This window comes from Homo sapiens, chromosome 10 (assembly GCF_000001405.40).
Source record: "Homo sapiens chromosome 10, GRCh38.p14 Primary Assembly".
NCBI classification, from domain to species: domain Eukaryota; kingdom Metazoa; phylum Chordata; class Mammalia; order Primates; family Hominidae; genus Homo; species Homo sapiens.
The window spans coordinates 113,174,916-113,190,414 of record NC_000010.11 but is presented as its reverse complement, the minus strand read 5'-3'; the positions used below and the strand labels follow the sequence as shown (position 1 = coordinate 113,190,414).

The following is a 15,499-nucleotide window of genomic DNA, read 5'->3' as shown; positions in this document are numbered from 1 at the left end:
GCTTGACCACGTGGACATTTTAGACTGGATAGATGGAGAAGGCCTCTCTAGGGATAGGACTGAAAGGAAATGTTAAAAAAAAAAAAAAAAAAAAAAAAAAAGGCTGGATGCAGTGGCTCACGCCTGTAATCTCAGCACTTCGGGAGGCCGAGGCGGGCGGATCACAAGGTCAAGAGTTCGAGACCAGCCTGGCCAATATGGTGAAACCCCGTCTCTACTAAAAATACAAAAATTAGCTGGGCGTGGTAGCAGGCTAGTAGTCCCAGCTACTAGGGAGGCTGAAGCAGGACAATGGCATGAACCTGGGAGGCAGAGCTTGCAGTGAGCCGAGATGGTGCCACTGCACTCCAGCCTGGGTGACAGAGTGAGACACCATCTCAAAAAAAAAAAATGGAGCCAGTTTTGTGAGTTGAATGGGAAGAGCATGCCAGGAGAGGGACAGCTGGTACAAGGGCCTTCTAATGGGGAGGTTAGAAAAGGAGAAAGGTTAATGTGATTGAATGCAATGTGCCAGACAAGGCTGGTGAAGTAGGAAAGGGCCAGTTTGTGTAGAGCCTTGTGGACCATAATAAGGAGGTCCTCTTTTAGTGAGATGGAAGTCCATGGGAGGGTTTTAAGCTAGAAGCTATGTGATATACATCATGTTTTCAAAAAATTAGCCTGACCACCATGTAGAAATGGAATGGAGGGTTTGGAACAAGCACAGAAGTGGAGACAGGAGATAGGATGCTATTGTACCAGTCTAAGCAGGACGTGACGTTGGCTTCAACTACAATGGTCACAGTGATGATGAAGAGAAAGAAGTACATTGATCCATGCTGGAGGAAAAATTGTTGGAACATGCTCACATTCAGAAGGTAGAATTGATAGAAAGTGCTAATGGATTAGATATGAGGACATGAGGGTGAGAGAAGGAGGAATCAAGGAACTGAGTGGATGGGAGTGCCTTTTACAATGAGGTAAGGAGGAGAGTAGAGAAGCCTTGAAACAGATTATCCAATTTATTCGGCCCTGTTAATTTCTATTTGTCTGTTAGATCTCTAAAGGAAAATGTCACTTCACAGTGGGATACACAGGCTGAAATTCTAGGGGAGAACAGGATTGGGTACACATATCTGGGGATCATCTACCTTAGGTAACATTTAATGTTAGGGGTCTGACTTAGATTACCTGGAGAGAGAAAATGTGTAGGCAGAATGCTGTGGGTTTAATGTTTGTTTCCCTCCCAAAATTTATACATTGAAACTCCAACCCTCAATGTGATATTTGGAGGTGAGGACCTTGGGACCTAATTATGGTCATGAGGGTGGAGCCCTCATGAGAGAGATTGATGCCCTTATGAAGGTCATGAGAAGTCTTTTGTTTTCTCTCTCTGCTCTCTGCCATGTTAGGATACAAGATTACCATTTGCAAACCAGGAAGAGGGCCCTCACCAGACACAAATCTGCTAGCACCTTGATCTTGGACCTGTCAGCCTCCAGAACTGTGAGAAATAAAGATTTGTTGTTTAAGCCCCCCAGGCTATGGTAATTTGTTATAGCAGCCCAAATTGACTAAGAGGTGACATTTACCACTATGGGTCTAGATGAGATTGCCTGGAGAGAGAGAATGTGTAGGTAGAGGAAATCGTTCAGGACAGAGCTCCCAGCACTCCAATATTGGGAAGTTTACAAAAGGAGGAGGCAGCCAGCCAAGAGACGGAGAAGGAACAGCAAGAGAAGTGGGAGGAAAACTAAGAAAGCGTAGGTTCCAGGAGCCAAAGCAAGGGAGGTTCAAGTTGTCAATTTGTCTTTCTTTTGTAGTTTTGCTTCCCTGCCGCCTACTCCAAAACCTCCCAGATCCACCTGTATCTTCCTGAATGGTAAAGGTAGCTTGCTGGCCCTCAGATCAGCAGTTCTCGGTAGCACCACATCCAACCCCCTGACCAATCGAACAGCCCCTCCCAGTCTCCCTCAGCAACCTGGCAGCAAGGGATGGTGTGGTCCTTGCCAGGTCTTTTCCATCCCTGGTTCTCAGTTCTTCCTGGGACAAATAAGGAGGCTGGAAATGGTGCTCTCTCGCTGACAGCACTCCCTGTGCTACTAGAACTTCAGGCTCAGCCTCTCCTTCCCATGGAGCTCAAGCTTTCCTCCTGTTAGGCCTTCTTCCCCCAGAGACCATGAAATGATGGTCTCTGAAAGAGAATCCCAGTGATCCATGGAGGGCCTGCTCAGAGCTTAACTCATAGGTAAGGTGCATCTGATGGCCGTGAAAATCTACTTGGAAAGAAACCCAGGGTAGTGACAGGGAAGGTAAGGGCCTTGGACCCATGGCTGTCTCATGGGTTAAACATGATGTGTCCTACTACAGGAATGTTCTGCCCATCAAAACAGGGCACTTGCAGAGCTATGTTTGCTCAGAGGGGGCAACTTTTTCTAATTTGTGCAAAAGTGCCATAGAAGCAGTGCCATGTAACCCTACTTTGGACCTGTCACCTGCATTCTTTGTTCCTGACACTGGACTTCTTTAGGCTCACTGCCTGGCTTCCTTAGGCACATTCGCTGTCTGGTATCTTTGGGCCCGCAGCCTGTTCTCTTTAAGCCTGCCATTTGCATTACCTAGACCCACTGCCTCGTGCCTGGGCCAGCCTCCTGATGTCTTTGGGTCCACCCCATATTTCTTCAGGTTCGCTGCCTGGATTATTTAAGCCTGTCATGTCATATCTTTGGGCTTGCTGCCAGAATGCCCAAAGTCCTGGAAACTTGGGCTGCTGCTGAGTATCAGAGCTACCTGGAACATTAACGCGGCTCTGTGGGGCTGCTGTCAGGAAGGGAGAATAAATGTCACCATCTCCAGCCTCCAGCAGTGACCACTGTGACGAGGCCAACAGCTCAGCTGGGCTTTGAAAGGAGCATTTGTATGGTTTGTTTCCCTCCACGAGACCTCCAAGGCCAACTCCCCCAGAGATTGATTCATTTCACTGTTTTGCTTTTTTTTTTTTTTGGTGATCTGTGTTTAATAGGGAACCGTGTGTATAGTGCCCCTGTGCCTCTGGCTGGGAGCTCAGTGCTGGCAGGGCAGGCCAGCAAGAAAGCCCAGCAGCAGGGGTGGGAGGAGGCCAAGAAAAACCCCCAGGCTTCAGGCTGTGGCAGGAGGGCTTGCCCGGACGGCCTGCTCACCAAAGCCTGGCTTCAGAGCTCTCTGGGACTGGCCTGGCCCGATGCCAGCAGCCATTGCTCCGTCTCTTTGCAGAGAGCCAGGGAGACAAAACAGAGCCTGATTTTAAAACAGACACACAAAGTGGTCTCTTCACAGAGCTCTGTAGCATTCTGGACCAATACACACTAATGTTTTCATGCAGAAAAGGGGACTTGGAGAAGGATAATGTACAATATCTATCACATGCAAGAATGTTGGGCTTAGACAGAACAATAAATAATGCAGCTCGCATGTGGCAAACCTTCCTTGCACACCAGGCACCATGCTCGGTGCTTTACACGGACATGTCAGCTGCCTTGCCTAAGAATATCATGAAGACGAAATTACAGTCCCCATTGTATAGATTAAAAGCCAAGTTTCACATCCTATTAGAATGGCTAAAATTTTAAAAATGGATAATGTTAAATGCTGATGAGGATACAGAGCAACTGGAACTCTCTTACACTGCTGGTGGGAACACACAGTGGTACAGCCACTTTGAAAAACAATTTGGCAGTTTCTTAGAAAGTCAAACAGACACAGATGGTAAAATCCATCAAGCCCACTCCAAGGTATTCATCTAAATGGAATGAAGCCCATATGTAAATACTTACAGTAGCTGTATTCATAATCACCCCAAACTGAAAATAACCCAAATGTCCTTCAATTGAGGAATGGGTAAACAAACTAGTTCTTCAACACCACAGAATATTACTCAACAATAAAAAGGAACACACTACTGATACATAAAAATGTGGGCAATCTCAAATGCATTAGGCTAAGTAAAAGAAAACAGAATCAAAAGACCACATACTGTAAGACTATTTATATGACACCCTTGTGAAGAAAAACTATAAGGTCTGAAAACAGATCAATGGCTGCCAGGGGCTGGAGGTAGGGCAGAAATGAATTTTAGGAGGTTTTGGGGAATGTTTTCTCTCTCTATATATGTATATATGCATACACACATACACACACACACTCATATTTATGTGTATAGATATATATACATATATACACATACACACATATACATGTGTATGTGTATATATGTATATATATGTATATGTATAAATATGTATATGTGTGTGTATATATATAGTGTGTGTGTGTGTGTGTGTGTGTTTGTGTATATGTATATCTCCCAGGCTGGAGTGCTGTGGCAAAATCATGGCTCACCTCCCAGGTTCAAGTGATCCTCCTACTGCAGCCTCCCAAGTAGCTGGAATCACCATGCCCAGCTAATTTTATCTTATTTATTAATTTTATGTAGAGATAGGGTTTCCCTATGTTGCCCAGGCTGGTCTCGAACTCTCGGGCTCAAGGGATTCTCCTGCCTTGGCCTCCCAAAATGTTGGGATTACCGGCATGAACCACTGCACTTGGCCTATATATTTTTATTGTGATGATGTTTCCGCCATTATATATGTTCATCAAAACTTGCAGAACTGTACACCAAAAAGGGTGACTATTTCTATATGCATATTAAACCTTAATTTTTGTAATCGTTAAAAAAAGTCAGCTGTTCAAGGAGATGTAACTTGTCCAACGGCAGAATCAAGATTGACTCTTGACCCAGCTTTTTAACCGCTGTGCTGAACAACGATACCGGTTGCCCTGGAGACCATCTGGTCTGAGCCTCAATTACCGAGAGATCTGGACTCACCAGGATGTAGAAAACGGTAGGTTCTGAGGAATTGGCTTCTTTTTTTTTTAATTAACTGAAGTTTTCAAATCATTTTTCTTTTAACCCCTGTTGCTACCAATATTTCTAAGTTGTCTGAAAATACAGTCATCCTTACTCTAATACTCAGGCCACTGACTCTGCCATGCTTGAGAATTGCAGGGCCAGATCCCCTGAAGTTGGGGGACCTGGTCACATTCCTTCACCTGTCACTATTTGCTGTGTCACCTTGGATACGTCATTCACTCTTCCTAGACCCTGGTTTCCCTCTGTGAGAAGGGTATCATTTCACCATCTCAAGAATGAACGAGAAAATTAAATGAGAATCACAGGACCTACAGTTTTAGGTCGTCACAGTCTTATCAACTGCTTTCTTTTTTATCTCAGGGAATTGGTTCAATAGCAGTCAACACATACTGAGTACTTTCTATGTGCTTTGTGGTTGATAGACATTTCATCTTGCTGCCAAGTCTGTGAGCTGGTACTAGCCCATCTAACAGAAGACGAAAGGGAGGCACTTAGGAATGAAACAATTCACCATGACCCCACAGCTAAATGTAGCAGAAGTAGTAGAACCAGATTGAAGCCAGGCAGCCTGATTCCAGAGCCTTCTGTTTGGCTAGTTCACCTTTCTGCCTCCCCTTCTCCTGTCTCAATTTTCCACTGCCATCTTGAGAATCCATATTTGCACACCTTGTCCATCAGGCAACACGCATCCTATATTGAACTTTCCCCTACACGGACTTCAGATGCCAAAATGGATTCTTCTCCAATATGGAAGAGCCAGGAAAGCCACAGAGGTCCTCTGCCTCCTGTTGGCTCCGTGTCCTTTCTATGCTTCCACCAAGCAAAGGTGTGGAAGGAGAGCAGTGTGTGGTGGAGGGTCATTTGGCCCTGGGGGAGGGATGGCAGGAGGAAGAGGAGGGAAGCCACTTTTATGGGAGCATAAGCAAGTGTCAATGTTCTTGCTACTCGATCCAGGAGACTTCATTCCGGCTCATTGTTCCTCATTATCAGAGCTAACTATGTTCAGGCGAAGGGTGAGCATGTTCCTAAATTTATGTCTCTGTGTGCGACCACGACAATGTGTGTTTTGTGTGCTTCTCCCTGAAAAACTCCTCTTGTGACACAGGCGACCCAGCTTGGACTTGGCCTTTCATGTGCGTTACCCACTCCGACTGGCACCTGCTGGCAGATTTTTCTTAAAGTCTAAAATGAGGGGCTAACCTTCTCGTCTCTGCTTTTTCTTCTCCGCTACCTATCATCTTGATTTGACTCACACAAAAGTGTCTCAGTGGGAAACCCACTCAAGAAGGCTTTGACAGGGAACAATGGACAGACACCTCTACAGAGGCCGGCCCGCCGCGTTGAGAGAGGGAAAATGGATTAAAGTTTAAAGATGTCATGTATGTTAACCGATCAGTATCAGTTTTATGTATTTTGTCAAAGAGACAGCAGTGAAGCCGGGCCCATGAGGGTGAGGGGGTGCAAAGGAGGGAGAGGTGGCCCCCACACACTTTGGCCAAAGGCCTCACCAGAGATAACGAGCCCAAGGAGCTGGAGTGTTTGAAAGGTAATCATAACAATAATAAAGAAGAAAGGGCCCAGAGGAGATTGTCGTGGGATTGTTGTGTGTGTCAGCTTTGTCCTTCCACAATGATCCAGGGCCAGGAGCCAGGCAGCCTCCGGGGCAGCAGAGCGGCTCCTTCAGAAAGCAGATGCCGCTCATTCAGCCCGCGTGGCTTTCTTCCAGGATAATGCTCCAATGGGCGGCAGAAGCCTGGGGAGTCATGGGTGAGGCAGGGGGAGAGGTTCCTGAAAGCCTGGGCTCCCCGCCGGCATCTCTCATGGCCAGGCCCAGCACTGTGCACAAGGAGCAAGGCCGGCCCGAAGCCTGCATGGGGCCTGGGCCCTGACCTTGCTTCTTGTCTGCAAGAGGGTTACCCACAATGCCCTGCTCTCCTGACGGGACGTCAGGAGAATAGAGTTGGCCCCTGGAACTTCTCTTCAATATCCCTGAAAAAAAGTGGGATTCCCAGTCTGATTTCTTTGGACCTCTGAGCACTTTTCCTTTCACATGAATCTCCCTTTGTGAGGGTTGCTAAAATTTCCTCACGTCGTGAATAGGCTGAAAAGTGAGTATCTTTGAGTCTTCTTTCTGAAGAAGTCCAGACTCAGATAGGACAAGCCGCCACATTTTTGGAGGAAGCAGTTCATGGCAAAGGCTGCGTTCGTAGGTGAGCTAAGCTCCATTTATCCTGCAGACTCAGGACTGTCAACAAGGGCAGTCATCCTGGCGGGACATGCAGAGGGGCTGTCCTCTAAATGGAACGTTCCAGAGACTGGCAAAGGGAAGGCTCTAGAGCTCCTCTGCAGAGTCTCCACGGGCTCCCACAAGCCCAAGAGTTGGGGGCAGTAGCATGCCAGATCCAGCGCATACTGGCTTTTGAGAGCTGATGGCTAACTTTTCAGTAATTTTTTTGCAAGCCAGCTTTAAAAAAGTTAACTTATGAGGCCGGGTGCAGTGGTGCCTCACACCTATAATCCCAGTACTTTGGGAGGCTGAGGCGGGTGATCACTTGATGTCAGGAGTTCGAGACCAGCCTGGCCAACATGGTGAAACCCCATCTCTACTAATAATGCAAAAATTAGTTGGGCGTGGTGGCACGCGCATGTAATCCCAGCTACCTGGGAGGCTGAGGCAGGAGAATCACTTGAACCCAGGAGGCGGAGGTTGTGCCACTGTACTCCAACCTGGGCAACAGAATGAAACTGTGTCTCAAAAATAAATAAATAAAAATTTAAAAATTAAAATTAACTTATATAAACTTAACAAATAAATACAGCAAAAGGAATATTCAAAACTCATCTCTCCGTAATAACTTTACTATTCTCTATGCCCGAGGTTTTATACGATTACTGTGTCTATACTGGCAGAGATACTGGAGGATAGTGTGTTTCTGAGCATCTCTTCCCAACTGCACGTACTGTAATGTCACACAGAGAGCCACAGTGGAGTATTTACACCACAGAAACTGGCAAATGCCACAAATCAGAACTTTTTCCCCTAAGTGCTAGTTGTTAAATACTTACTGGTACACTAGTTGGAGGGTGATCTGGGCCAGCTCCTCGGTCACTGGACCAAGCCACTTTCCCTCTGCAACAAGTCACCATGGTGACAAAGGAAGAAGAAATGGAATGGCATGTTGCTCTGAAGACAAACTATATGCAAGTACGAAGCTTAGACAGACTCTGAGCTGCTTGACCCGATATTCATGCATGTGTGACTGTGTTCATTCATTCAACCTATTTTTTCCTCTCTTTCTCTAAACAAAAATATCTTATTAGGAAAAAATATCATTTTCAACTCCAAGACCCTTGATGAACAATCTGCTCCAATATCTGCCTTTAATGAGAATAATTCAGGGCCAAATAGTTGATCCTGAAGGCCATGCTGGGCTCAGGGATTGGGGCCAGGAGGGATGAGGTCCTGGATGTGGGGACCCTATCTCCCTTTGCACCCACCTGTATTCTCTTAGGGCCCCTGTCTCTGGGACTCAGCTGTGAAGGCTGAAAAGGCTGCAGCTATCCTCCCATGGGACAACTGCCTTTGAACAGGGGTGCAGAGAGGCTGAAAGGCCTTCAGGGCCACACTGAATGAATCTTGCAGGGGATCTCAGGCCAGGGGAGTGATCTGCAAATTTGAGTCTGGTGGTTTTCCAAAACACATCATGCAGGCAACTGCCTCCTCCCTCCCAGAAGGCTGCTCTTGATCAGGGTCCTCTTCTCTCCTGCCCCAGAGAACTCAAGGCAACAGAAATAGTAATAATAGCTCATCAGGCTGAAGTGTTAACCTCGGGCCTAAGCACTGTGGCCTCATCTGAGCCTCCTAGAAGTAGGTGGTGCCTTTGTCCCCTCTTACAGCAGAGAACACCAAGACTTTGAGAAGTTCCTTAACTTGGTCCAAGCCAAAAAGCTACTCATCTGAAATTCAAACTCAGGCAGTCTGAATCCAGAGTTCCCTCTCCTAACCCCTATGCTCAGATCACAAATCCAGCTGGTTCCCTACCATGCAGGTCTGATCAATGGAAATACAAAAATGGTTTGGGAGACCAAAGCAGGTGGATCACTTGAGGTCAGGAGTTCGAGACCAGCCTGGCCAACATGGTGAAACCCTGTCTCTACTAAAAATACAAAAATTAGCCAGATGTGATGGTGCGTGCCTGTAGTCCCAGCTACTCGGGGGGCTGGGTTAGGAGAATTGCTTGAACCCAGGTTATGGAGGTTGCAGTGAGCCGAAATTGTGCCACTGGACTCCAGCCTGGGTGACAGAGTGAGACTCTTGTATCAAAAAAAAAAAAAAAAAATTAAAGAAAAGAAATAAAGAAATAGAAAAATGGCAGGGGGGTGAGGAGGGGGAGGCTGGAGTGGGATGAAAACTACAGTGTGCAAGGGAACTGCCTGCTGCCCCTCCCCCGACTGGGCATCCCCAGGCCCTCCCAGGAGGACACTCCCTTCAGGGCAAGGCTCCCTCTGGCCAGCTCTGAAGTTTCTCTCCTGCCCTGACACACTGGGCTCAATATCTGCTTTGAGTTATTTCACATCTTACAGGGAAGCAGCAGGAGCCAAAGCCCTGGGCACTGTGGCAGGCCAGGGAGCTGCGCAGGGGCGCCATAAGCACACCCCACCAACACCCCCGGTCCCCCGTAGCAGACAGGAAAGCATCACTGGGCAGGACCCCCCGATGGGACTCCAGCAGCTTCTTTCTTTACCCGTGGGCCTTGCCAGGTTAAGGCACTTCCCAAGCTGATTTCTCATTTGCTGTTTATAATTTTGTGAGGCCAGAGTATGTAAAGAGGATGCCTTTTACAGAAAGGAGAAGTTAATTCAAAATACCTCTGGGGTTCGGCCCAGGCCACTCAGCCCTGCTGGGTCTGAAGCACAGTCTCTGGACTCTGTCCAGTGCTCTTTTGACTGCAGCATCAACATGCACCCCTACCCCACAAGAGGTCCCGTGTTTTAGCAGCAGATAAAATCAACTGGTCCCTGGAAATGTGCCAATCACGAAGACCAGAAGACAAGCACCAAAGGAGAGAAATATTTGAGATTCCTGTTAAGAAGCCATGTTGGGATTGATCTGAATAACACCAGAAAAAAAGGGGAAAATAATAAAGTCAGACACTACATAATCCATGGAGACATGGATGGAAGCTGAGTGGGGCAAATTTCAAAGGGGGCACCTTCTCCCATGGAAAGGGGCAGGAGGTACAGAAGGCCTTGAACTTGAACTGAGCTGTGGTCATCTACTAAGCGACACCAAGCAGATACTATTTCAGATCATCGTCCCTGCAGCCCTGCAGCCTAGGGATGATCACCTCCCATTTACAGATGAGGACACTGCACTGAGGATGATCCCATTCCCCAGGAGTGGTGCTGAGGTGCCCAAGAGCTCTTCCTAAAATGGGGAGTGGGCTGCATGCTTCAGCATGGTGTTTAAAGGGCCAGGTGTTTAATAGCCAAAGTAAGGTCCGTTAGCTGGTGAATGCATAAACAAAACACAGCAGATCCACACAATGAAACACTCTACAACCACCAAAAGGACAGCACTACTGATGATACACACTACAAGTGAATGAACCTCAAAAATATTCTCAAGGGAGATGGTTTTTTCCCCTAAGGGGGACAAAATTGGTTCTTAGAGACCAAAATATATTTATATATATAAAAATATATATATATATATATGTGTGTGTATATATATATATATATATATATATATCTCCTTAGATACTACAGTGGTTTGTAGCCCTCCAAAGCTCAAGCCTACCGGACAAACTCATGTTTCTTGGTATTTAATTTCTGTCTTTAAGGAGAATTTAAATTACATTTAATTTTTCTCCTTGGGGGAGGAGTGGATGATAATGAAAAAATGTTTGAGACACTGTGCTGAGTAAAAGAAGCCAGACACAAAAGACCATGTGTCGTATGATTCCATGTACATGCAATGTGCAAAAAGCCAAATCCGCAGAGGAGGGAAGTAGATTAGCAGCTGCCTGGGGCTGGGCGTGGGAACAGGGAGTGACTACAGCTGAGCAAAACGGAGGTTTTGGGGTGATGAAAATGTTCTAAACTTGAATTGTGGTGATGGTTGCACAACTCTGTAAATTTCCTAAAAGTCATTGAATTGTACGCTTCAAACAAATGAGTTTTCTGGTATCTAAATTATACTTCCGTAGAGCTATTTTTTTAAAAAAGGAAGAACAGAGGCTTGGGGATCTGAGAGGCCCAGCTCCAGTTCTGGTTCCTTACTCCCATGCCTCAGACAGGTGGCTCCAGGCCTCAGTATCCACATCTGTGAAATGGGGTCTCTACCAAAGCTTTGGAGGCCATGAGGATCCAATGAGACGTGTTTAAAGGCCTGAGCACTGTGATGTGAGGGTCTAAGGGGGATGGCTTCAGGACCCTAACTTTGAGCAGAGAGAGAAAACTCATGTTTCAGGCCTCAGGTAAGATAGCATCTCCTTGAGAGGCCTTCCTTGACCCCTGGAGGTTACTGCTCAGGTGTTTACCTCCCTGAGGCATTTACTGAAATCTAGGCCCTTTTGTGTGATCCTTATTGTCTGTCCGTAAGCCCCACTACTGGAATGTTCTCTTTAGGCCAGCAAGGATCTTATCCTCGTTGTAAAGGCACCCTGTGGGGCACAAAGCAGGGACATATGAATATTCAGTAACAATAATTATCATGGGTTTCATACTAAATGAATGCAGTCAGATGAACTAAGTTTTTGTTCACCAGAAAGTCGCAAATTTCTGGAGGCTTCTTTCCCTTAGAAAGACCTCTCTATCAGGTGTGTGAAAGAGTGGAGCATTCTGAGGGTGGGGGGTCGGGGGGGAAACAACTTGCTTTAATGACATTGATTCATTTGCCCTGCATGGCTAGTGCAGTAATTCTTACCCTGGAGCTCATGAAATGACGGAAAACATATGCGGCATGCTGTTTGTGTCCAAGAATCTACATTTTCTTTGGGGTGACAGTCATGAGCACTTACCAGAATCTCAGTGGGGTTCACGATGGAAACAAGATGCTCGGGTGCTCCAGGTGAAATGAAAACTCCCAAGTGTGGAGACCATGCCCCCACGCCTGCCCCATCTCCCTCCTTCTCTCCCTCTTTCTCACAAATTCATCTGAAGCTCCGGACTTCATGGGGAATTTGAGGCTGGGCAGTGACGGGGAATCTCCATGAAATGGAACACAAGCCAGAGCTGAGACAGGCGCCGTCAGTCCTCAGCATCTGCTCCTGGAAGAAGAAGCTGTGAAATTAAAACCTGGGACTGGGCACACAGGAAGATAGCTGCAGAGAGATACAGTGAGAGAAAGCCCCTCTGCCCCTCAGCCATCTACCTGGTGCAAAGGTGGAGGGAGGCAGGCACCATCCAGGAGAGGCGAGCAGGGCCTCAAAGGTAGCACCTGAGGCTGCGGGACCCACAGGCCCCTGCTGATTCTCCAGGTGCGTGTGCACTTGAGCGAAAGAGCGAGCAGAGAAAAGCTAGTTATCTACGGCGAGCATACCTAACCTATCCACTCTTAAAACAGGGTGTCTGACAGCGAAGGGCCCAGGAAACCAGCTCCTATTCGCTGAACACTGTGGCCCTTAAAGAATAAAAACAAGAAGGGAGAGGCCGGGGACAGGCTAATTACACCTACCAAGCGACAAATCACTTGGAAAACATAAATACGTTTTCAAGGACACTCCTCCACTAACGATGCTAAAGTGTTTTTCTTTCAAATCCCAGCAAGAAAATCCAAGGGATGAAACAAACTTCGCTTATTTTAGTTTCTACTCAATTACCTGTTAATGGAAAAAATCTGGCACCAGCCATAATGAGGCAGGCATGAGCTCACTGGCGTGGGGGTCGGCCCTGTCAGGGAAGGCTGCAACAAGCGCGGCCTTTATCTGCCTCTCTATAACCCTTTCAAACTCGCTGTCAGGGAGCCCACATTGAGCAGGCTGGAGAGGAGGAACCTGGGACCCACTCCAGGCCTCCGAGGCCCCTTGGGAAAAGGAAAATTGTTGTTGGCAAGTCTGTCTGGCTCCAGAAATTGATCCAGTGCCCCCCACTTGTCCGAGCAGCAGCAGACAGGGCTAAGAATTTTGTTATAATTAAATAACAGAGTGCTGATTGGTTGCTGGAGGTGGTCTTGAAACTGGTGTTTAAAAGCAGAGGAGAACAACGGTTACTATTCATAGGAAAAGCCTAGAGTCTTAAAAATCCATCTGTTTCATTCCCAAATTTAGGCCAAAAAAAATGCTCACTTGCTGTCTTTAAAAATACCACCTGCTTTGCGATGTTGTATAATGTGCCATTATATAAGGTGGAGGGGGCGGAGGGGAGGGCCGGGTGGGAGGATGCCGTGTGGTGGGCAGAGCCCCTTCCTGAGGAAAACAGAGACAGCCTTGCAGAGGGCCAGGCTGTCCACTCCAAAGGCCGAGCCTCCACCTCCAATGCCCTACACTGGCCTTGAGGCACCAAGAGAGTCTTCTAAGCATTACCTCAGGGGGCTGCCAACAGGAACCCCCAAATATGGGGCCCTGGTAATTATGGACGTCCATCCTGCACCCACCTGGCCTTAGGGGTCAGCCATCGCAGTTTGCACCAATGCTGGCCTGGGTGGTGATCTTGCCCCATTGCCCACTACAGCTGGGCTGCTGGGTGAGGCCACAGTTCCTGGGACCAGGGGAAGGAGAAGCAGCCAGGCCCCCTTAGCCTGGTGGCTGGCCACTTGCATCTTCCTCCACACAGCCCCGGAACCCAGGATGTGGAAGCCACAGGACATTAGGTTCCCAGTGGGACAGCTCTGTTTCTACCAAGCAGACAAATGTCCCTGTCTAGCCTAACCCTTATGGAGTTTCCCAAGATTCCGAGAAATGTTGGGGACTCAGTTTCTTCTTAAGATTCTTATTCATAGGGTAAGTGGGGAAAAAAAACAACTCTGTAGTCACACGCCTAATTTTAATCCCAGATCTGCCACTTTTTGGCTGACCCATCCTGAACACGTCACTTCACTGCTTCCCCTGACAACGGGAGTAGGAAGACTTACATCACAGTATTTGGGTGAAGAACAAATAAAATAATGCATGCTGCCGCAGATGCCTGGGAGCCACGTATGGTGCCTGGCACATCGGAGGCACCGCTAGCAGGTGGTGGCTGGATTTCCAGGAGCTTCACACTCAAGCCCTTCATTTTGCATTGGCATCTCCAAACCTGAAAATCACCCAGGATCGGGAACAAGTCTTACAGCTGGCAGCAGGGTTAGCATTCCCCACATCAAAGCGAGCCAGTAGAGAATTTGAAGCAACAGGTAGTTATGAGAAAGATCCCTGATCTAGATTACAAGGAATCATGGCATCTAGCCGAGATCCAGCCAGCACCCAGCTGTGTGGCTTCAGGCAAGACACTCCCGGGACCCCCTCTCTGGGCTTCAGTTTCCTCTGGTCCTTCTTTCCAGCTCTTAAGGACTAGGCGGTCAGATTCTATTGAGAGCACATGCTTTTTTCTACAAAGGCCTCCTGGAATTTCTACTCAGCAAGATAAGACTTAGATGTATCCGCACCTCCTCCTTGGGCATTCTGAGGCCCCGGGGGAGGGGGACTAAACAAGGAGCCCCAGAACCTGTGTGAGTTCCCTCCATATCCTGACACCAGAAACAAGCTCGAATCTCAGTAACATGCCCAAGATTCTTTATTTCTACCCTCCCGTCAACCCTTGCACCCTGTAAAGCAAATAGACACAAGGGCAATTTCTAGCAGAGTGTTATCTGAAACAGTTATTAATAGGAATTTAATCTGTTTTATTATTATTTATTCTTAGAGGCCATTCCAGAAGCCCCATTGCATCTACATTTTTCACTGAGAATTTCTTGCCATAGTTGGTCTCATAAAGCTAACAGGAATGTGGGTGAGGGGTGGGCACCACATAGCTTGTTTGGTTTTATTTTAAGAAGCAACCAGCACTACCTTTAGAATCCAGAGGAAGTTAACATTGCTTAACCTGAATCCTTCATAATTCCATAAATCAAGTGAATACGGGGCATTAAATCTTTTTTTTCAAAAGGCTTGTTTCATGACTTAGCCATGGTGCCTTCCTGCTTGGGCCCCACTTGATAGACCACATGGCAGTCATAGCTCCCGTGTTTAGTTACTGGTTCTATGTGACACACACAACCTAGAGGCCTTTTGTTTCCCTTATTCATCCAATATCAGCTTCATCATTTCAGCAGAATGGAGCATATATAATCTATGAGAAAAATCCAGAGGAATCCTGAGGGCACTGGATGAGAACTACTCATCTATTGTACGACAACCACAATTTATTCATCCTTTCTACCACTAATGGGCAGGCAGCTCATGTCCAGTTTTTGGCCATTATGAATGAAGCTGCTGTGTTCATCTACTAAGGTAAAACATATCCCATTTGGATATGTTTTGGTAATTCCCTTTTGTGAATTACCTAGTTCTGTTTTTCAGTTTTGCTTTGCTTTTTGCCCATTTTTAATTGGTTGAGCGATCTTTTCTTTTGATTTTTAGGAATGCTTTTTATCTCTCGGTATTAGTCCTTTGTCAGATGAATGTATTACAA

At 46.9% G+C, this 15,499-nt stretch overlaps 2 annotated features.

Annotated features, from left to right (window-relative positions):
* Window positions 6,634-7,135: an enhancer, noted in NCBI's record as "H3K4me1 hESC enhancer chr10:114943039-114943540 (GRCh37/hg19 assembly coordinates)". NCBI's record gives its function as "activates a minimal SCP1, AML or CMV promoter by ChIP-STARR-seq in primed H9 embryonic stem cells {active_cell/tissue: H9 hESC(primed)}" and the evidence as "EXISTENCE:reporter gene assay evidence [ECO:0000049][PMID:30033119]".
* Window positions 14,272-14,440: a silencer, noted in NCBI's record as "fragment chr10:114935734-114935902 (GRCh37/hg19 assembly coordinates)". NCBI's record gives its function as "represses an EF-1alpha promoter that drives an FKBP-Casp9 reporter gene in an ReSE screen in K562 erythroleukemia cells {active_cell/tissue: K562}" and the evidence as "EXISTENCE:reporter gene assay evidence [ECO:0000049][PMID:32094911]".